The sequence below is a fragment of the Homo sapiens genome, chromosome 3, assembly GCF_000001405.40.
Source record: "Homo sapiens chromosome 3, GRCh38.p14 Primary Assembly".
NCBI lineage: Eukaryota > Metazoa > Chordata > Mammalia > Primates > Hominidae > Homo > Homo sapiens.
Window position 1 is genome coordinate 184,335,804 of NC_000003.12, and position 19,331 is coordinate 184,355,134.

The window sequence follows — 19,331 nt, forward strand, 5'->3', positions numbered from 1 at the left end:
CGGCTCTGGGAGGAGAGGACCGGCATTTTCGAACCCGGTCCAGGCCGCCTCTGCGTGGCTGTGACGTCGCTGCGCCCCGCCTACTTTGGGTGGTGACGCGGCGGTCACGCCCCCGCGCTTACGTCACCGGCCCGGTTCCCTCTCCGGGGAGCGGCGGCGGACGCGCGGCTCCCACCCCTCCCCTCTCACGGGCTCTCCCCTCCCCAGTGTGGCCGCGACCCTACCCTCTGCAAGGCGATGGCCCGCGCCCCGAGCGCAGGCTAGCGTGCCTGGGTGCCCGGCCATGGGCTGTATCGGCTCTCGGAGCCCGGCGGGTCAGGGTAAGAGGCGGAGGCCGGGTACGGGTTGGGGAGTCGGGCTGCGGCCGCCGGTGCGCGGGCCGCGGGTGGGTGGGGGCCTTGAGGAGGGGGCCGGTGTCGGGAGAGGGAGGAGCCTGCACCGGGAGGCGGGCCAGGCAACAGGAGGGAGCGGGAATGAGCAGGGAAGGGGCCAGACCGACTCCGGTTCGCTCCCACGGCCTGCCTGCCTTGGGGTTTTGCAGGGCAGACGCATGGTCTCGCCGCTGGCTGCCGTGTGCCCACTGCTCAGGGTGGCCGGAGACGCACAGCCCCGGGAGGGGCTGGGCAGCCCGATGCCCCCACCACTCCAGCCCTCGGCGACTGGCCTTGCGCGCCCACACACACACTCCCCTCCGCCTACACCTCTGCCTTCACAGTCCTGGGAGTGGCCCTGTGCTGGGAACCTGCTTCTCCCAGCCGTGTCCCCATCTTCTTAAAGAGGTAGCCTTTCGGTCCTGGCTAAGCACCCTACCACAGAATTTTTGTCGGACATTGACTCCCCTCTTCAGTCAGTCGGCGAAGGGGGACTGAGGTCCCGTTTGGGGCACCTGTGAACACTGAATCACCTCTCACCTATTACAGTTGTTTTAATGTCCTGCCCCCACTCAGCAAAAACAAATCACTCTACTCTGTGGAGGGAAAGAGGAACCCAGAGGCAGGCCATCAGGGCTTCCTTCCCACAGTGCTGACCCCTGCCTGGGCCTCGGTTTCCGTGGGTGGCCATGCACACCGGGCCTGGCCGTAGTCCTGTGCATCAGAGGTCGGCCAGCTTCCTTTACTCCGGTGTGGTGGATTTCTCCACGCATAAGGCAAGGCAGGACTGGGTTTGGGATGGGTCCTGGACCTTCAGGGCAGGTGGTCAGTCACACAGGCCTTGGTGTGGTTGGTACTTGATGTTCTTTGGAGCTAAGACTGGCTGAGATTTGTACTTCCCTTGAGGAATTCTGGGATTTGTAGTCCTAAGTTAACCTCGTGGCTTTTGAAGCTGAGGAGCAGCTGACTGCTCTGATCTCTCTGGCCCTATCAAGGCTTGGAGTTCAGGAAGTCATCACCTTCTCTTGTCAGGGGTGAGTTTGGCTGACCTCAGGACTGGCCTCGAGAGCCCTGGTTAGGTACCAGTTGGGGGCCAGGGATGGCCTGTAACCTCCTGTTTTCCTTCTGGTTGGTAGCATTTCTGGGGACCAACAGCTGGCCGAGGCTCAGGGATAGAGACGGCTGCTCCAGCTAAAGGTCAGTTGTGATGTACATTGCCTGTTGGCACTGTCTAGGGAATGGGCCTCAGCTCCCCGAGTCCCAGAGAGCTTGGCTGAGCCCTGGTGTTCCCACCTCCTCAGAGCCATGAGGCAGGAATGTTCTCCTTATGTGACTAGGCACAGGTTCCAAATGGGGAGGGGACTGGCTCAGCATCCGGAGCCAAAACAGGAATAGAACTGGGAGCTGAGCCTGGAGCGGTTCTGGGCTTTTGGTTCTCTGCATCAACACAGCCAGCATGCCTATGATTTCTGTGCTGGGCAAAATGTTTCTGTGGCAGCGTGAAGGGCCTGGAGGACGATGGACTTGTCAGACAAGTCGCAGAGGTGAGACCAGGGATCATGGATGTGATCTGGGAGATGATGGGAAGCTGAGCAGTAGGGTGCTTAGGTGGAAAAGGAAAATTACTCTGGCTTAGATATTAAGAACCAGGCTGAAACAGGGAGAACCAGGCTGGGGCCAGACAGGGCATCAGGAAACGGCTTCAGGGGACAGGGGTGAAAATCAGAAAAAATATCATGAGTTCGTCAGAAAAGAAGAGTAAAGAGCTGTGGACCAGCTGAGGCTGGCGAGAGGAAAGAAGGCAGCAGGAAGAGAGAAGGAAGGCAACCCTCCTGCAAAGGGTCCAGGGTGGCGGTGGTGGGGGGGACAGTGATGGCGGAAGAACTCAGTGTGCTTTCCAAGAGGAATGGGTAGGCTGGGAAACGGGAAGGAGAGTCAGAATTTATCATTGTTTGGTTTCACCCTAGGGTTTTGAGGCAAAATTTATCCAGAGCAGGAAGGTGGCAAGTGGGCTGCCACAGAATGGCCCCAGGGGCCCGAGGGTCAGTGATGTGTGGGATGGGGGCTTTTAGAGTTGAGGAGAGCACTCAGTGGGCGCTGGTCTTCTGGAAGGTGGGGGAGGGGCCGAGAAATGATACGGCAATACTGGATGAAAATGGGGATCTCTGCAGAAGTAGGGGCACAGCTCAACAGCCTTTCCCCTTCCTCTCAGTGTCCTCGGACCCCGCTTGGGCTGTGGAGTGGATCGAACTTCCTCGGGGTCTCTCTCTATCCTCTTTGGGATCTGCTCGAACCCTCCGAGGCTGGAGCAGGTCCTCCCGCCCTTCCTCGGTGGACAGTCAGGACTTGCCAGAGGTGCTGGGCCCCTGGTGGTGGGGGGAAGGAGGACGTCATCCATATAAAGGGGATCTGCAGCCCCCACCCACGCCTGGCCAGCCAGCTTCTGGCTCCCTTTTCCGGCGGGCGGAGGCGCTATCCGGCGGCGGGCCGGGAGGCCGCCCCCGTGCCGGTCTGCTCTGCTCGGCGCTGTGCCAGCAGGCGGAGAGCTCGCGCCTTCCGCGCTGACGTCAGCGCATCCCGGGCCGTATCCCGGGAGACCCTGTTGCGTGGTGATGGGTTGCCAGGGAGACATACACCTTTTCTCTGGGCCTGGGCCGCAGCTGCGCGGAGCGCCGGGCACGGATGGCGGCGGCTGAGGGGAGCGAAGCGAGGGAGGGAGAGCAAGCTAAGAAACACCCAGCAGGTGCTCCCCCGCCTAGGCCTGGCTGGAGGCTACTGGCGCCACCCTGGGGGCCCTGTCAGCCAGGTACCCAAGGGGAGGGATCGAGGGTGGGCCTCAGGTCAAGGGGCAGTGTTGGCTGCCCTTGTGAGGGACGGGAACGTGATAGAAGAGAGCTGGGCAATGCCGGGGAGGGATGTGTGCCTCCAACTTCATTAAGTGAGGGAAACATTTGCTGGGGCTTGTCAGGGAGCCCTGAGCCAGGTACAGGGTGGAGTTAGGAACTTACGTGCATCAGACTTAGGCCTTGCCATCCTGAGCTCCCTCGGGAGACAGACAAGGGCAATGATGGGGGCGGGGTGTGTCAGAGAAAAGAAGAGGCTGTCGGCTGAAAGCATTATTTGCAGGTGACACTTGAGATGGGCCTTAAGTGATGGCAAGCATTTTTTCACGTAAGGATGGCATTCTTGGCCCAGAGGAAAGCTGAGTTCCTTTTCCTGGAGGCAGGCGGGCTGCTTGCTGACAGGGATTGGTGGAGAAGGGTTTTTGTTTTTTGTTATTTATTTTTATGTATTTATTTATTTGAGACGGAGTTTCGCTCTTGTTGCCCAGGCTGGAATGCAATGGTGCGATCTCGGCTCACCGCAGCCTCTGCCTCTGGGGTTCAAGCGATTATCCTGCCTCAGCCTCCAGAGTAGCTGGGATTACAGGCATGCGCTGCCACGCCCGGCTGATTTTGTATTTTTAGTAGAGGCGGGGTTTCACCATGTTGGCCAGGCTGGTCTCCAACTCCCGACCTCAGGTGATCCGCCTGCTTCGGCCTCCCAAAATGCTGGGATTACAGGCGTGAGCCACTGCGCCCGGCCTGAGAAGGGGGGTTTTATTGGGCAGAGGAGATCAGCAGTGGATTCAAAGGAGGCTTGGAAGGAGGCAAGGGTGTCACAGAGTGGGATCCTTCAGGGCCTGGGTATGATGCCTGCACTAACCTCACTGGACAGTAGCGTAGGCTAGACAAGATTTTAGAGATGTGTTGTGACCAGCTGCACTCCAGGAAAACTGTTTACATTATATCTTACCTCATTCATCCAGCCTTTGCATTTTTGTTTGCTTGTTTTTGAGACAGAGTCTTTTTCTGTCGCCCAGGCTGGAGTGCAGTGGCACAATCTTGGCTCACTGCAATCTCCGCCTCCTGGGTTCAAGCAATTCTCCTGCCTCAGCCTCCTGAGTAGCTGGGATAACAGGCACCCGCCACCATGCCCTGCCCATTTTTTAAATTATTTTTAGTGGAGATGGGGTTTCACCATGTTGGCCTGGCTGGTCTCAAACTCCTGACCTCAGATGATCTACCCACCTTGGCCCCTTGGCCTCCCAAAGTGCTGGAATTACAGGCGTGAGCCACCACGCCTGGCCCAGCCTATGCATTTTTTTTTTTTTTTTTTTTTTTTGAGATGGAGTCTTGCACCGTAGCCTAAGCTGGAGTGCAGTGGTGCGATCTCGGCTCACCGCAACCTCCGCCTCCCGGGTCCTGGTTCAAGCAATTTTCTTGCCTCAGCCTCCTGAGTAGCTGGGATTACAGGAACGTGCCACCATGCCCAGCTAATTTTTGTATTTTTAGTAGAGACGGGGTTTCACCATGTTGGCCAGGCTGGTCTTGAACTCGTGACCTCATGATCCGCTCACCTCGGCCTCCCAAAGTGCTGGGATTACAGGCATGAGCCACTGACGCCTGGCCAGCCTATGCATTTTTAAGAAATTATTCTGTATTAGGTGCTGTGCTAAACATTGGGCACTACAGTGACCAAAACAGACTGAATTCCCCAAGAGCCAAAGACCAGTGAGGGAGACCAACAAGAAACAGGAAATGCAAAAGAGACCATTATTACTCACTATGACTAAGGGCCACAAATGGGGTACGTTGATGGAGAGTGATTTGTTAAGAGACTACAGAGGGAGGACAGACTACCAAGAGGGGGGCCAGGAAAGCTCCTCTGACGAGGTGGTATTTCAGCCCAAACTGGAAGAATGAGAAAGAGCTAGCCAGCCATCAGAATAGTCCAGAAGAGATGGGGAGCACTACACTCACTACACTTTGGCCTGAGAAAATAGCATGGGATTGGAGGAGGCTGGGGGAACACCACTTCTGCCGACCTGGGCAGGAGGCATTGAGGGCTTGAGAAAGGGCAATGGCAGTAGCAGTAGAAAGGACAGGGTAGGAGCAGGGACTTTGCAGGTGGAATCATTAGGTCTTATCAACAGATATGGGCAAGCAAAGCCAGGGGAGAATTGATGGTAATGCTGAGGTTTGGAGCCAGGCTAGATGGGACAGTGGTGGGTGATGCAAAGGAAAGAGGTCAGGAAGCAGGGCCAGACGTGGGGAGAAGGTGTGGGGGTTTGGTTTCCATCTTGCCGAGTCTGCCGGAATGTGGATGGGAAGACCAAGAGGAGGAGCAAGGGGCAGAGGGGAAGGGAATCTTAAAGAAGTCCTGGATGCCACACTCTTCTTCCTTCCTCCTCTTCCCTCTCCTCAGAGGTCTCACTCGTGGTTCTTCATTTCCTGCCCTGCCTCCATCTCCTCTGGGTGCTGGGAAAGTGGAGGATTAGCTGAAGTTTTGCTTCTCGGGGCCTGTCTGAATCTCCATTGCTTTCTGGGAGGACATAATTCACCTGTCCTAGCTTCTTATCATCTTACATTTCCCTGTAGCCACTGGGACATATGTGGTGTTCCTTCCTAGCTCCTGTCTCCTCCTCATGCCTTTGCTGGGTATGGGCATGTTAGGGGGAAGGTCATTGCTGTCAGAGGGGCACTGACTTTCTAATGGTGTTACCCAAGGTGAATGTTGGAGACACAGTCGCGATGCTGCCCAAGTCCCGGCGAGCCCTAACTATCCAGGAGATCGCTGCGCTGGCCAGGTCCTCCCTGCATGGTATGCAGCCCCTCCCATGTTTCTGGCCACTTTGTCCTTTCTCCTCCCGTTTGCACATCCCTTTGGAACTGTTTCCTGTGAGTACATGCTGGGGTCTCCCCTTTCTTCCCTTGCTCAGGTGAATCTCAGCCCCTTCTCCCACCCAAAGGTTCACATGGATCCTAACTACTGCCACCCTTCCACCTCCCTGCACCTGTGCTCCCTGGCCTGGTCCTTTACCAGGCTTCTCCACCCTCCCCTATCTCCAGGTATTTCCCAGGTGGTGAAGGACCACGTGACCAAGCCTACCGCCATGGCCCAGGGCCGAGTGGCTCACCTCATTGAGTGGAAGGGCTGGAGCAAGCCGAGTGACTCACCTGCTGCCCTGGAATCAGCCTTTTCCTCCTATTCAGACCTCAGCGAGGGCGAACAAGAGGCTCGCTTTGCAGCAGGTGGATGGCAGAAAGGGGATAAGCTACACTCTTGGCACAGGGCTGCTTTCTTTCTTTATTTTATTTAATTTTTTTTTGAGACGGAGTCTCACTCTGTCGCCCAGGCTGGAGTGCAGTGATGCAATCTCAGCTCACTGCAACCTCTGCCACCCCAGTTCAAGCGATTCTCCTGCCTCAGCCTCCCAAGTAGCTGGGATTACAGTTGCCTGCCACCGTGCCTGGCTAATTTTTGTAGTTTTAGTAGAGATGGGGTTTCACCGTCTAGGCCAGGCTGGTCTTGAACTCCTGACCTAGTGATCCACCTGCCTCGGCCTCCCAAAGTGCTGGGATTACAGGCATAAGCCACCACACCCGGCCAGGGCTGCTTTCTTATCTCCTCGGGTCTGACATGGGGGTTGGAGTCTTCCCATACCCTGTTTCTCCTCTCTCCTGTCTTCAAGCTGAGCCCTAGACTTAGCTCACCTTCTCTGCTTATGCATTCTGTCCCTGCGACAGGAGTGGCTGAGCAGTTTGCCATCGCGGAAGCCAAGCTCCGAGCATGGTCTTCGGTGGATGGCGAGGACTCCACTGATGACTCCTATGATGAGGACTTTGCTGGGGGAATGGACACAGGTGAGGGACATCCTGGGCTAGGGCTGTGGTGGACCCACCTGATAGACCTTGGCATTCTTTCAGAGCCACATCCAGAACACTCTCAGCCTTTGCAAGGGGAGGGAGAGGGACAGACTCAGTCCAGGCAGGCCTGGACACTCCAGGGACAGGAAGGCTGTCCACACTCATGGGTGGGAAATGAGCAGACAGAAATGGATTCGTTCCTTTCCCACAGGTGCTGAGGCTTCTCTGCCTGTCTGCACAGTTGTGCCTTGCAGTCCTCAAAAAAAAAAAAAAAAAAAAAGCCGAAAGACCTCAAGGACACCTTCTGTGCAGCCATGTCTCTGGGAGGGTCTGCAGTGCCTTTGCCTCTTCCTCTCCGAGGCAGCCTTCTGGCTGGCTGTGGCAGGGCAGATGAGCTGCAGTGCACAGCCCAGCACCTCGCAGGGCTGCAGCCCAGGTCAACAGGAAGGCATGCTGGGCCTGGAACACCCACGGGGCCATGCTGGCTCCAACTCAGCATCCTTGCATTCCAGCCCGTGGGCCTTTCTCTGGGCCAGTGCTTGCAGAGGGGACCCTGCAGGGCTCTGCAGCTGTGTTCGGCCCTCCTTTCATCTTTCATTCCCTAGACCACATGGCTGACTTTCTCTGTAGCTTCTGGGCTCAAGTCTCACAGGCCACCATTCCCCACAACCTCTTTGCCTTTGAAGATTACCTCTACCATCCCATACCCCTCCAGTGAATTAACAAGTTCTCCAAAGCAGGCAATACATGAGAGCAGGTTGGAGACTGCTGCTGTGGTCTGGAGGGCTGATTTGGTTGTCTGAAGCCAAGATGGAACCTTAAACCACAAGCATTTTTGTTTGATTGAGTTCCAGGCCTACTTTGACCCCTGGGGTAATGATAATAACTAACATTTATCCAAGGCTGCTACTAGCCTGTGTGGAATCTTTGTGCAAATTAGAAAAAGGCACCCCTTTCTCTGGCAGGCACAGCCTTTCTCTGGCAGGCCAGGGCATGCTGCTTGGTGAGCAGAGTATGGGTTAGATTTTGCTATTTCTCACTGCCTTGGACAGGCCCTGTTGTGCGATGAGCAACCTGTATGGCCATAGGCGGTGACCCTGCATTTACTGCTTGTTAACTGTGTGCCAGACTTTTTTTTTGAGACGGAGTTTCACTCTTGTTGCCCAAGCTGGAGTGCAATGGCACGATCTCGGCTCACTGCAACCTCCGCCTCCCAGGTTCAAGTGATTCTCCTGCCTCAGCCTCCCGAGTAGCTGGGATTATAGGGATGTGCCACCACGCCCGGCTAATTTTGTGTTTTTAGTAGAGACAGGGTTTCTCCATGTTGGTCAGGCTGGTCTCGAACTCCTGACCTCAGGTGATCCACCTGCCTCGGCCTCCCAAAGTGCTGGGATTACAGGCGTGAGCCACCGCACCCACCTGTGTGCGAGACTCTTGTTCTTGTATTGTTAGAATCTCCAACTCACCATTAAGGACACTGAGGTCTCAAAAAGTTGTGACTGGTTCAAGGTTACCCAGCACCTATCCACCCCTAGAGCTATGCCAGGGGTGGAGTGGGGTGAATGTGGCTTCCAGGTTGTCCAGTTGAAATGGAGCCAGCAGGACTGTCTTCTTTTCTCTTCTCCTCACAGACATGGCTGGGCAGCTGCCCCTGGGGCCGCACCTCCAGGACCTGTTCACCGGCCACCGGTTCTCCCGGCCTGTGCGCCAGGGCTCCGTGGAGCCTGAGAGCGACTGCTCACAGACCGTGTCCCCAGACACCCTGTGCTCTAGTCTGTGCAGCCTGGAGGATGGGTTGTTGGGCTCCCCGGCCCGGCTGGCCTCCCAGCTGCTGGGCGATGAGCTGCTTCTCGCCAAACTGCCCCCCAGCCGGGAAAGTGCCTTCCGCAGCCTGGGCCCACTGGAGGCCCAGGACTCACTCTACAACTCGCCCCTCACAGAGTCCTGCCTTTCCCCCGCGGAGGAGGAGCCAGCCCCCTGCAAGGACTGCCAGCCACTCTGCCCACCACTAACGGGCAGCTGGGAACGGCAGCGGCAAGCCTCTGACCTGGCCTCTTCTGGGGTGGTGTCCTTAGATGAGGATGAGGCAGAGCCAGAGGAACAGTGACCCACATCATGCCTGGCAGTGGCATGCATCCCCCGGCTGCTGCCAGGGGCAGAGCCTCTGTGCCCAAGTGTGGGCTCAAGGCTCCCAGCAGAGCTCCACAGCCTAGAGGGCTCCTGGGAGCGCTCGCTTCTCCGTTGTGTGTTTTGCATGAAAGTGTTTGGAGAGGAGGCAGGGGCTGGGCTGGGGGCGCATGTCCTGCCCCCACTCCCGGGGCTTGCCGGGGGTTGCCCGGGGCCTCTGGGGCATGGCTACAGCTGTGGCAGACAGTGATGTTCATGTTCTTAAAATGCCACACACACATTTCCTCCTCGGATAATGTGAACCACTAAGGGGGTTGTGACTGGGCTGTGTGAGGGTGGGGTGGGAGGGGGCCCAGCAACCCCCCACCCTCCCCATGCCTCTCTCTTCTCTGCTTTTCTTCTCACTTCCGAGTCCATGTGCAGTGCTTGATAGAATCACCCCCACCTGGAGGGGCTGGCTCCTGCCCTCCCGGAGCCTATGGGTTGAGCCGTCCCTCAAGGGCCCCTGCCCAGCTGGGCTCGTGCTGTGCTTCATTCACCTCTCCATCGTCTCTAAATCTTCCTCTTTTTTCCTAAAGACAGAAGGTTTTTGGTCTGTTTTTTCAGTCGGATCTTCTCTTCTCTGGGAGGCTTTGGAATGATGAAAGCATGTACCCTCCACCCTTTTCCTGGCCCCCTAATGGGGCCTGGGCCCTTTCCCAACCCCTCCTAGGATGTGCGGGCAGTGTGCTGGCGCCTCACAGCCAGCCGGGCTGCCCATTCACGCAGAGCTCTCTGAGCGGGAGGTGGAAGAAAGGATGGCTCTGGTTGCCACAGAGCTGGGACTTCATGTTCTTCTAGAGAGGGCCACAAGAGGGCCACAGGGGTGGCCGGGAGTTGTCAGCTGATGCCTGCTGAGAGGCAGGAATTGTGCCAGTGAGTGACAGTCATGAGGGAGTGTCTCTTCTTGGGGAGGAAAGAAGGTAGAGCCTTTCTGTCTGAATGAAAGGCCAAGGCTACAGTACAGGGCCCCACCCCAGCCAGGGTGTTAATGCCCACGTAGTGGAGGCCTCTGGCAGATCCTGCATTCCAAGGTCACTGGACTGTACGTTTTTATGGTTGTGGGAAGGGTGGGTGGCTTTAGAATTAAGGGCCTTGTAGGCTTTGGCAGGTAAGAGGGCCCAAGGTAAGAACGAGAGCCAACGGGCACAAGCATTCTATATATAAGTGGCTCATTAGGTGTTTATTTTGTTCTATTTAAGAATTTGTTTTATTAAATTAATATAAAAATCTTTGTAAATCTCTATATACATCTGGTCATTGGAGGTTCCAGTTATAAACCCATCTTAGTTCCACCCCTTTCCCCTCAAAGGGGGAGCAGGGGTCAAGTGACCCCAACCCATCCTGCCAGGGCAGGGCCTATCTTCCTGCCTCTGGAAGACTTGTTGCAGGTGGGTAGTGGGTCAGATTCCAGGTAGGATGAACTGGGAGAAGCTGGCACCCCAGGTCTGGAGGGGGCTGGGGTGCAGCCTCCAGCTGTAGCTGCCTCCTGCCTTCCGAAGGCAGAAGGAATGAAAGATGCACATTCTGGGCTGACGGGCATGGCTAGCACCATCCTAGGCCACCCACGAGGGGCTCATTGGCATTTGTCGTCGCTGTCGGAAGGGCTGCCCTCCCGGGGGAGGCCATGACGGGAGTGGGGCCCCCAGAGTGCATGCACCTCAGTGGTCTCCGTGTCACTGCTGCTGGTGGCACTGTCTCGGAAGCTGGCGAGGGGCGGCCGGACTTTCACACCCTGTGCTGTGACAGAGCCCTCGATGGCCTTCCGGAGCTGGAAAGGTGAGAGGGACAGATGTCTGGACCCAGATGTCAGACTCCTCCCCGCCTTCCTCCCCAGGTGAGCTGGACATAAGCCTCCATGACTTTTTGGAAGTGGAGCAGCTTTGGAGGCCACCATCACCTCACCTCCTTTAGAGTAACGATTCCAATGAGTCTGCCAATACTGGTGACATAAGCATGGTCCACTCCCAGCAGTGAGAAGATAGTGTGAGTCTGCAGTGTGGGGAGAAAAGCGATTGGACTTGATGGACGAGGGGCAGCTCTAAATGACAGGCCACAGGGGCCCAGGACAAGGTTGGTGTGGAATAGGAGGGGTGCCCCAGATTGGGAGGGAAGGAGACAGGACTGCTGGAGGGAAAATAATAACAATCGTAATAATAATGAGAATGTTTCTGTGTCCAGGCCTCAGGAACTTGATACTCAAAATCCTTATATTGCTTACACTGACGGAGAAATAGGATGGGGGAGTAATTCTTAGTCCCATGTTAGAAAGGGGGACGTGGGACAGAACAACTGTTCACACGTGAAATCTAGTGATTGGCCAGGCTCCGTGCTAGGTCTTACATTATCATTTAATTCCAGTACTGTCCTGAGAACTAAGCATTAGGAGAAGCAGCATGGGGCTCAACAGTGAAGTGACTTGTTCCAGGCGGGTCCTCAGGAGTGGCTGTGCAGCCCCAGTCACTTTTCATCACACCGGAGAGGGACGCACAACCCCAGTCCTGTTTAGTTGCAGATATACCGAGAAGGGAGAGCCCACACCGACCTTAAGGGCACTTGGGCCCTGAATCCTATGCCTCTCGTTCCACTGCTTCTCAGTTGCCCTCCTACCTGGCTGGCCAGGTTTGGAGTCTCTCTCCCCTGCTCTGGCATTCCAGTCTTGGCCTGAAGCACGCTATGCCTCTCATACAGTCTGCCTTTTCTAGGGTCCAAGCAGCATCCCAAGTTCTGTTGAGATGCAGCTTGCAGTCCAGGAGGACAACGGTCACCCCCATCTTCCCATGTTTTTCTTGCTTTAAGCCCTCCCCTAAGCTTTCACATATAATCACCAGGGGTTCAGAAATTGTCAGCCAGTTCTCCTTATGCTTTAAGTAGATTTTCTTGGGGCCAGATGTCTTGAAAAACGCTCTCCTGACTCAGCAGTTCCTGGAATTTTTGGCCTATCATTTATCTCACTGTTCTGAGTTTACTTGTAAGCCTCTTCGCTTAATGTTTGAATCAAGATGAGCAGTAATAACAGCTTCTTGTGTACCAATTACTCAGAACTCACTTAAATTGCCTTAACACTTTTTAAATGTTCTTACACATTTGAAATTCTTTAGGGAGGGATTTCCAGAACTTTCCTAAATTTCTCCACCCATGGCATGACAGTACTTAGAGGGGCAAGAAGTTCAATTTTAGAATAAGCTCTTCTGGGCGCGATGGCTCATGCCTGTAATCCTAGCACTCTGGGAGGCCAAGGCGGGTAGAATGCTTGAGCCCAGGAGTTTGAGACTAGCCTGCAATATGCGAAACCCTGTCTCCACAAAAAGCCAGACATAGTGGTGCATGCCTGCAGTCCCAGCTACTTGGGGGCGCTGAGTTGTGAGGATCACCTGAGCCCAGGAGGCAGAGGCTATAGTGAGCCATGATCGTGCCACTGCACTCCAGCCTGGGTGACAGAGTGAGACGCTGTCGTCTCAAAAAAAAAAAAAAAAAAAAGTTCTTCTGTGTTTCTTGAATACCTATAACACAGTTGTCATGTGGTTAGCGATTCCTTCTGGCTAACTGGAGTCCTACGTGCTACAAGTTAGCTTTAATTTCCTTGTCTGACTTCAGAGGGAAACGCTTTTATTATAAGGCTTCCTATGTTACTAATCCCTTAGCCTTGTCTTCTTATGGTCAAATAACCCCTCTCATCTTCTCCCAAGGAGCCTATTAAATAGTTCCCTTGAATTTTCTTTTTCTCCACAATCCTAACCAGGTGAGCTTCTGGCGGGCGATATGCCTTTCAGGTTTGCAAACCACTTGCCCCTGACAGTCACCAAGCCTTACCAATTCACTTCCTAAACATCCTGGCCATTACTGACTGTAGCCTCACTATCCTCACTAAGACTGGGGCTGCAACAGCCTGATGGGTTCTTTCTGCCTCCCTTCCCTCCAGTCTGGCCCTGCTTATCCTATGCCCTTTGTCAAACTTGAGTACAGCCCAGACTCCCTAGAAGGCCCATGAGACCCTTCCCAAGCCAACCCCAGCCTGTCTTTATAGCCTCACATTCTACTGTGTACTCCAGCTTCCAGCCTGCAGCTTCACATAATCACTCTTCTTTTTCTGAAAACATTCATTTCTTCCACACTTCAGCTCTTCTCTCATTACAGTATTTTTTTTAAACAATTTTTTTTAGTTAAAAAAATTTTCTGGGCCGGGCGCAGTGGCTCATGCCTGGCCAACATGGTAAAACCCTGTCTCTACTAAAAATATAAAAAATTAGTCAGACGTGGTGGCACGCTCCTGTAATCCCGGCTACTCGGGAGGGCTGAGGCAGGAGAATCACTTGAACCTGGGAGGTGGAGGTTGCAGTGAGCCAAGATCGCACCATTGCACTCCAGCCTGGTGACAGAGTGAGACTCCGTCTAAAAATAAATAAATAAATAAAATTTTTGTGTTAGAAGACAGTCTCACTATGTTGCCCAGGTTGGACTTGAACTCCTGGGCTCGTGCAGTCCTCCCACCTCAGCCTCCTGAGTAGCTTGGACTACAGGTGCCCACCACCATGCCCAGCATATGCTATCTTTTAAAATTCATCTCTCAGTATAAGTAGTAGGAGTAGTAACAGTAATTCCTAACATATATTGAGTATTTACTGTGTGCTAGGCCCTATTGTAAGTGCTTCACATGTTTCAAGTCCTTTAATTCTTAGAAAACCCAGTGAGGTGTGATCCCCATTTTACAGATCGGGAAAGTGAAGCACAGAGAGGCTAAGAAACTTACCAAGGTACACAGCAAGCCAGCATGTGGCAGAGTAAGGATTTGGGTTCAGTTGGTCTGGCCCTAGCTGTGGCCGCCACTCTGGCCTTTACCATTGCTTCTCCGTGGGTGGCCTCTGAATGAATTACTTATTAGCCGGCACAGCGATCTCCAGTTGCACGGGTTCCTAAGTAGTCTCCAGTGTTTTCTCTCTCTTATCTGAATGTTCCCCTCCTGAACTTAATTGGGCGACTACCTATTGATTCCTCAGGCCTGTAAGGACATTTTGAATTCTAATCTTTTATGTTCTTATCACTTCTAGTTCTTTGTACTTTTGTTAGTTGGTTCCTCAAAGACTTCTTCTCTTCTGATTTTTAAGTTTGTAACAAATATCTACTTTGTTCTTTTTCATTTAATTCAATTAGACATCATGGAACCCATTGGAGGGCCCATACTTCTTGGGCCTGGGAACAGTGAACTGACATGGAGAGGGACAACATGGCCTTCTGAAAGAATCCTGGGAGCAGGGCCAGGAAATCTGGGCTCTGGGCCTGACTCTGCTGTGCTGACTCAGGCACGTGACCTCCTCGCTGCATGCCTCAGTTTCCCTGTGTATTAATATGGTTAAGGCCACAGGCTTTTGAGTCAGACCATCCTAGATTCCAGGCCCAGTTCTGCTACTTATTATTATTTTTTTGAGATGGAGTTTCGCTTTTGTCACCCATGCTGGAGTGCAGTGTCATGATCTCGGCTCACTGCAACGTCCACCTCCCATGTTCAAGCAATTCTCCTGCCTCAGCCTCCCATGTAGCTGGGATTACAGGTGCCTGCCACCACGCCTGGCTAATTTTTTGTATTTTTAGTAGAGATGGAGTTTCACCATGTTGGCCAGGCTGGTCTCGAACTGCTGACCTCAAGTGATCCACCTGCTGCAGCCTCCCAAAGTGCTGGGATTACAGGTGTAAGCCACTGCGCCAGTTCTGCTACTTATTAGCTGTGTGTCCTTGTGCAACTTGCTCAACCTCTCTGAATCTCAGTTTTCTTATCTATAAAAACTGGAGGATCGCAATATCTAAGTGCGTGCTTGTGATGATTAAACAGTTGAAGAGCTTAGCACAGTGTCTCGCACATAGCAAGCACTCGAAAAATGTCAGCATGATCATCATCATGGATGTTTGAGGAGTAAGATCATTGTGGAAAGGCCTCAGAGGTTTTGGGAAGAAGGGCTTTAGATAAAAGCCCTCTCAGGCCTATTACCTTTTTTCTTGCAACTGCACTGCAGTTTGCCACTCATCCAAGGACTTCTAAGTTCCTTTATTTTTGCCTTTTTGTTTCTCTTTTGTCCCCTATGCTTCCTGCCTCAGTCTCCGCTTGTCCATGCTATACTGGCTCTTAGGCAGAGCTTGTGTGTAAGCTGAATGCCCAAGCTGCAGGTTTTGGGTACATCTACCTGCTGCTTATCCCCTCCCCCAAACCCCCCAACGCTTCAAGGCTTGTACATTATGCCTGTCAAAAGTTTAGCTAAAACACCCCTTGGCTTCTGCTGGTCCCAGGAGCCATTTTACCAATGCAGGCTGCCCCCCTTAGGAGTCCTGGACGCAGAGAGCTCCTGGCCTCCTCTGGGGTCTGCCTCGCCCACCCCAGGCAGTCTGCTCAGTTCCTCGCCGCATTTCTGCAGGCTGCTTTGCAGTTCTGCTGAGCCATCTTCCCGCGTCCGTACCAGTTTTCCTTCGGCCCACATTAAGGCAGACTTTCTGGGGTCTGGCATTCCAAGCCCCCCACTGGGTGTTTCTCATCTTTGTTTATCTCTACTCTGCAGTCTCCCCACCCCTACTTGGATGTTTGTTGGCTTGTTTATTGCATTTTCTTATCCTGCCTGTTTCTCACCCGTTTTTTTCCGCATGGGCGTATCAACCTTGCTGGGCTGTGGTGGCCTCCCGCCTAGCTCTGACCCTGGCCTGGCCTTCTGGCTTCCACCCAGCTCAATCCCTGTCTTTGTTGCTTCGTTGGTCCAGAGTTCCCTCGAGGGCAAGGCTGAGCAGAGGAAAAACGATGCCTGGCTCCACCACAGAGCAGGAGGAGGCTGCTCCCACCTCCCATCATCCAAGCAGTATGTCTAAAAAACATCTCCGCACTGAGCCAACTCCCTTCTCCTCCCTCCTTCCCCACTGGCCTGAGTCCAAACTTGTAGGGGGACCAAGATCCCCACTGTGTCCTGAGAGCCTAGACCAGCCCTGGGCCAGGCTGCTGGCCCTACCTTGTGCAAAGAGGTCCGCTCCACCAGCTGGAAGGGAGCAGGATCAATTTTGCAGTCACTGAAGTTGACAGGTTCATCTAGTTGCTGCTCCTCCCACTCCAGAATCTGAGGGGAAGAGACTATGAGGTTTAGGGAGAAGGTGCCTGTAGCTGACCTCACCTCCCTGAAAGCTGGCCTGCCCTTTTTCCAACCCCGTGGTCCCTCCCATGGGGACAGCAGCCAACATGATGATTGAACACAACCAGGAAGAAACAGGGTCCAGAGTCCAGTGGCACCTTACCTCTTCAGGGCTCATCTCGCCTTCCAGGTCCGCGTCACTCTAGTAGAGAGGGAGGGAGGCTGGCAGCTAGGGGCTCTGGAGTTTATCCAGCCTAGACCCTGCCCTCCCTGCCCGGTGCCGCCGAGATGCTAGAAGAGCAGGCATACTTACTGCCAGGGAGATTCGGACACGCTTCAGCTTGCGCTTCTCACAGGATTCCAACTTCTTCAGTTTTGTTAGAGCCAAACCAGAAAGATGAGGAGTTGAGGTTATAGGGAGAGGGGAGGTGAGGGGAAGTGGTGGAGCCCAGGGGAAAGGGCACGCCACAGGACCTGAGCTGACAGCAGGGAGGGCCGAAGGGCAGGGAGAATAGAGGCAGGCACTGCAGGGTTAATGACGTGGTCTCAGCATTGGAGAGGGAGCTGGGGAAAAAGCAAGCTAGGAGGACAGGCTCCAGCCACTCACCTCCGAAGCAGCCTCAGGGGGTGGACTGCCACAGAAGAGGCTCCGGAGGGCGATGCCTGCCGACTCTGCGCTCCCTGTGTTCCCAAACATAAGGCCCCAGGGGGCAATGTCATCTTTTGGGGAGAGGACCAGGAAAGGTAAGGAAGACACAGGGAGAGGTATCCCAGTTCCAGCCCTGGCCCATGTGGGCAGCCTCTTCCAGCTGGGATGTACCCCAGCAACAGGGCTGGGCAGGGACTCTAATGGATCTCAGTAGCTTGGCTGAGGCTCTGTGGACACAGGAGACATGGGCTTACCTGTGGGACTCTCTCCGAGGTTCCTGGTGACACTGGGCCCCCTCTTGAGTGCAGGCTTTAGGGGCTTGTGGGTCTCCCCCCGGGCTGCTGGGAAGGCTGAGTCTTCTGTGTTCACCTGCATAGGCAGGAAGGGGCTGGTGAGGCCACGGCCCCAGACCACCCTCCCAATCAGTCTACACAATGACATTTAGGAAGCGTTTGTGGCTTTTCCCCTCACCTGGAAGCAGACAGAAGCCTCAGGGGTAGGGGGACCCTCCTGATCAGATAGTGGAGAGGTCTGGGTGGCTCTGCGCTCCTGCATGTGCTGCCGCCGGCGGGCTGGGCTCAGCTGGGCCCCCAACAATGCCACCACCTGTGAACGCTCGATGGAGCCCAGCAGAATCATGGACTCTGGACAGAACAGGTGGAAGGACTCAGGAGCTGAGAGGGAGCCCTCCAGCCCCGTCCTTCTCTCACACTCAGAGTGGGGGGCCTTGCATGCAGGCCACACACCAGAGGGAAGCCCCCACCTGGCAAGTGCTGGTCCATTCCCTTTGGAACCAAGGAGACTGGTCCTGAGCTCCCTGCCCCTTCCCGAAGCTTCGACCCTGGGCAATGCCCCTAGCACCTGGGACCCCTCCTGGCCTCACCAGGGGACTCCACTAGGGCCAGCATTCGGCCCTTGGTCCTGTGCAGTGCCAAACGCAGGTCCCGGAAGGTGCAGCTGAGGGCCACATGGGGAACATCCCGCACCATGATGTCCTCCACACGCACCCGGTACTGCCTGGGGGCCGAGAGAGGCGCTTGGTTTGTGGTCAGCATGGGGAGAGGTGCCCAGAGCATTGCCATCCCAGGGCCACAAGGAGGGCTCCAGAGCCCATCCATGGGGACGGGAGCTAAGGACCAAGGGGTGCTCCCACCCTTCTTTCTGAACAGCAGGGGCCAGCTACAGCCCCTCCAGAGTGTGGACGAAGGTGGCTCATCTCCCAGCTTCGTAGGCTCCAGGACCTTGCTAGAGGTGGCTGTAGGGGGATCTAGGATGCCCTCTGCCCTTCACCCACAGCCCCCTTGGCACCCAGCCCTCCGTACTGGTGGCGGCCCCAGCCGAGCTCAGGCAGGTAGGGCAGTTTCTTGATTCGGATGATGCTGTCATAGAGGGAGGGCTGCAGACTCTGGGCGACAGCGTTGGCCAGGATGACGGCGATCATGACAGGCAGGATGTGGGCAATCTGGCCTGTGAGCTCGAACACGATCACAGCCGTGGACACTGTGTGTGTCACCGCTCCTGCCAGCGCAGCTGCCCCTGGGGACAGTCACACTCAGTCTCCTCAGGGTGCCCAGGTCCCAGAAGACCCTCCACAACCAGGGCAGGTCCTGAGTGGGTCCCTCAGGGCTGCCCAATACAGTCCTGGGATTGGACCTGTGCATCTGAGGGAAGCCTGGTTTCTGCCAGCAGGGGGCACCAGAGTCTCGGACCCTGTGGCTGGGGCGTGGGTGGGGGGGTCTCCCAAGGCCGATGGGACCTGAGGCACTCACCGACCACAGCGTAGCCCCCAGGCACAATCCGGTAGGTGCTGCTGTCCGTATGAATTCCATCTGGGAACCAGGCAGCCATGCTTTCACCCACCAGACGCCCAAATGCTGCTCCTTCAGGGAGGGGGGTGGGAAGAGAAAGAGGCAGTGGAGGGGGAGGGCAGGGGGCACTAGGAAGAGAGAGGGTCAGAGGGTGAGGGAGGGGCCAACGGGTCATTCAGTGTAGGGCACAGCCCTGTGGGGTCAGGGTTCGGGCTAGGGCTGGACCAAAAACCCGCTCTTGGGCAGAGGGTTGGCTGGGGGGGTGGCCAGAGGCTGAGGAAGGTGCAGGCTGGGTGAGCAGGCAGCTGAGAACTCACCAATGACAAAGACAGGCATGAAGGCCCCACAGGGAACTGGGATGGTGGTGGCCAGTGCAGACATCCAGAACTGCAGGCAGGGGGTGGTTCAAAGGCGAAGAGGCTCCACCTGGCCCCAGGCAGCCCACAGCGCCACCCAGGAGAAGTCTACCTCGCTGATCAGGTGGGCGTAACCCTCCCAGCCACCCCGTAACCCTCCTAGCTACCCTGGGACCCCCAGGCCTCCCAGGT

General features: G+C 55.3%; 2 protein-coding genes across 14 annotated transcripts in view, besides 10 other annotated features; one reads left to right on the top strand and one right to left on the bottom strand.

Annotated features, from left to right (window-relative positions):
- Positions 1 to 430: a silencer, noted in NCBI's record as "silent region_14962". NCBI's record gives its function as "represses an Ori minimal core promoter by ATAC-STARR-seq in GM12878 lymphoblastoid cells {active_cell/tissue: GM12878}" and the evidence as "EXISTENCE:reporter gene assay evidence [ECO:0000049][PMID:35858748]".
- Positions 1 to 547: a biological region, named in NCBI's record as "ReSE screen-validated silencer GRCh37_chr3:184053938-184054138".
- Positions 123 to 10,472, top strand: FAM131A (family with sequence similarity 131 member A). 7 transcript variants are annotated; one of them, XM_047447437.1, is made up of 7 exons: positions 123 to 320; positions 1,508 to 1,915; positions 2,584 to 2,726; positions 5,921 to 6,014; positions 6,263 to 6,445; positions 6,941 to 7,057; positions 8,692 to 10,472. In XM_047447437.1, exons 2-7 carry the CDS (start codon positions 1,828 to 1,830, stop codon positions 9,165 to 9,167), a joined length of 1,101 nt encoding a protein of 366 aa, XP_047303393.1. In that variant the 5' UTR covers positions 123 to 320; positions 1,508 to 1,827; the 3' UTR covers positions 9,168 to 10,472. The 7 variants fall into 7 exon arrangements, with proteins under 7 accessions (XP_047303393.1, NP_001353063.1, NP_001164564.1 ...); NM_001366134.1 differs by having other exon boundaries at positions 1,508 to 1,568; NM_001171093.2 differs by lacking the exon at positions 2,584 to 2,726 and having other exon boundaries at positions 1,508 to 1,568.
- Positions 347 to 547: a silencer, noted in NCBI's record as "fragment chr3:184053938-184054138 (GRCh37/hg19 assembly coordinates)". NCBI's record gives its function as "represses an EF-1alpha promoter that drives an FKBP-Casp9 reporter gene in an ReSE screen in K562 erythroleukemia cells {active_cell/tissue: K562}" and the evidence as "EXISTENCE:reporter gene assay evidence [ECO:0000049][PMID:32094911]".
- Positions 471 to 540: a silencer, noted in NCBI's record as "silent region_14963". NCBI's record gives its function as "represses an Ori minimal core promoter by ATAC-STARR-seq in GM12878 lymphoblastoid cells {active_cell/tissue: GM12878}" and the evidence as "EXISTENCE:reporter gene assay evidence [ECO:0000049][PMID:35858748]".
- Positions 2,339 to 2,950: an enhancer, noted in NCBI's record as "H3K27ac-H3K4me1 hESC enhancer chr3:184055930-184056541 (GRCh37/hg19 assembly coordinates)". NCBI's record gives its function as "activates a minimal SCP1, AML or CMV promoter by ChIP-STARR-seq in primed H9 embryonic stem cells {active_cell/tissue: H9 hESC(primed)}" and the evidence as "EXISTENCE:reporter gene assay evidence [ECO:0000049][PMID:30033119]".
- Positions 5,042 to 5,121: an enhancer, noted in NCBI's record as "active region_20909". NCBI's record gives its function as "activates an Ori minimal core promoter by ATAC-STARR-seq in GM12878 lymphoblastoid cells {active_cell/tissue: GM12878}" and the evidence as "EXISTENCE:reporter gene assay evidence [ECO:0000049][PMID:35858748]".
- Positions 8,293 to 9,045: an enhancer, noted in NCBI's record as "H3K27ac-H3K4me1 hESC enhancer chr3:184061884-184062636 (GRCh37/hg19 assembly coordinates)". NCBI's record gives its function as "activates a minimal SCP1, AML or CMV promoter by ChIP-STARR-seq in primed H9 embryonic stem cells {active_cell/tissue: H9 hESC(primed)}" and the evidence as "EXISTENCE:reporter gene assay evidence [ECO:0000049][PMID:30033119]".
- Positions 9,046 to 9,797: an enhancer, noted in NCBI's record as "H3K27ac-H3K4me1 hESC enhancer chr3:184062637-184063388 (GRCh37/hg19 assembly coordinates)". NCBI's record gives its function as "activates a minimal SCP1, AML or CMV promoter by ChIP-STARR-seq in naive H9 embryonic stem cells {active_cell/tissue: H9 hESC(naive)}" and the evidence as "EXISTENCE:reporter gene assay evidence [ECO:0000049][PMID:30033119]".
- Positions 9,798 to 10,550: an enhancer, noted in NCBI's record as "H3K4me1 hESC enhancer chr3:184063389-184064141 (GRCh37/hg19 assembly coordinates)". NCBI's record gives its function as "activates a minimal SCP1, AML or CMV promoter by ChIP-STARR-seq in primed H9 embryonic stem cells {active_cell/tissue: H9 hESC(primed)}" and the evidence as "EXISTENCE:reporter gene assay evidence [ECO:0000049][PMID:30033119]".
- CLCN2 (chloride voltage-gated channel 2) overlaps positions 10,382 to 19,331 on the bottom strand; it is a 15,421-nt gene continuing 6,471 nt past the window's right edge. For 2 of the 7 annotated variants that reach the window (NM_001171088.3, NM_004366.6), the window contains 12 exons: positions 19,101 to 19,170; positions 18,745 to 18,855; positions 18,298 to 18,511; positions 17,859 to 17,992; positions 17,447 to 17,619; positions 17,230 to 17,344; positions 16,934 to 17,007; positions 16,640 to 16,693; positions 16,490 to 16,528; positions 16,210 to 16,314; positions 11,132 to 11,218; positions 10,382 to 10,997 (listed from right to left, as the gene is read on the bottom strand). In NM_001171088.3, the coding sequence (NP_001164559.1) occupies positions 10,803 to 10,997; positions 11,132 to 11,218; positions 16,210 to 16,314; positions 16,490 to 16,528; positions 16,640 to 16,693; positions 16,934 to 17,007; positions 17,230 to 17,344; positions 17,447 to 17,619; positions 17,859 to 17,992; positions 18,298 to 18,511; positions 18,745 to 18,855; positions 19,101 to 19,170 (1,371 nt within the window). In that variant the 3' untranslated portion in view covers positions 10,382 to 10,802. Of the gene's footprint in view, positions 10,998 to 11,131; positions 11,219 to 11,559; positions 15,987 to 16,209; positions 16,315 to 16,489; positions 16,529 to 16,639; positions 16,694 to 16,933; positions 17,008 to 17,229; positions 17,345 to 17,446; positions 17,620 to 17,858; positions 17,993 to 18,296; positions 18,512 to 18,744; positions 18,912 to 19,100; positions 19,171 to 19,331 lie in introns of those variants that run through there. The other 5 variants (NM_001171087.3, XM_006713489.2, NM_001171089.3 and 2 more) reach the window with 5 other exon arrangements.
- Positions 10,551 to 11,302: an enhancer, noted in NCBI's record as "H3K4me1 hESC enhancer chr3:184064142-184064893 (GRCh37/hg19 assembly coordinates)". NCBI's record gives its function as "activates a minimal SCP1, AML or CMV promoter by ChIP-STARR-seq in naive H9 embryonic stem cells {active_cell/tissue: H9 hESC(naive)}" and the evidence as "EXISTENCE:reporter gene assay evidence [ECO:0000049][PMID:30033119]".

What these genes read in the sequence shown, in the direction of transcription:
- FAM131A (XM_047447437.1), top strand. Translation starts at nt 1,828, where the DNA reads ATGCCTATGATTTCTGTGCTGGGCAAAATGTTTCTGTGGCAGCGTGAA. An exon ending in ACAGTCAGGACTTGCCAGAG is followed by an intron (nt 2,727 to 5,920) that starts GTGCTGGGCCCC and finishes GTGTTACCCAAG; the next exon opens with GTGAATGTTGGAGACACAGT. An exon ending in GGCCAGGTCCTCCCTGCATG is followed by an intron (nt 6,015 to 6,262) that starts GTATGCAGCCCC and finishes CCCTATCTCCAG; the next exon opens with GTATTTCCCAGGTGGTGAAG.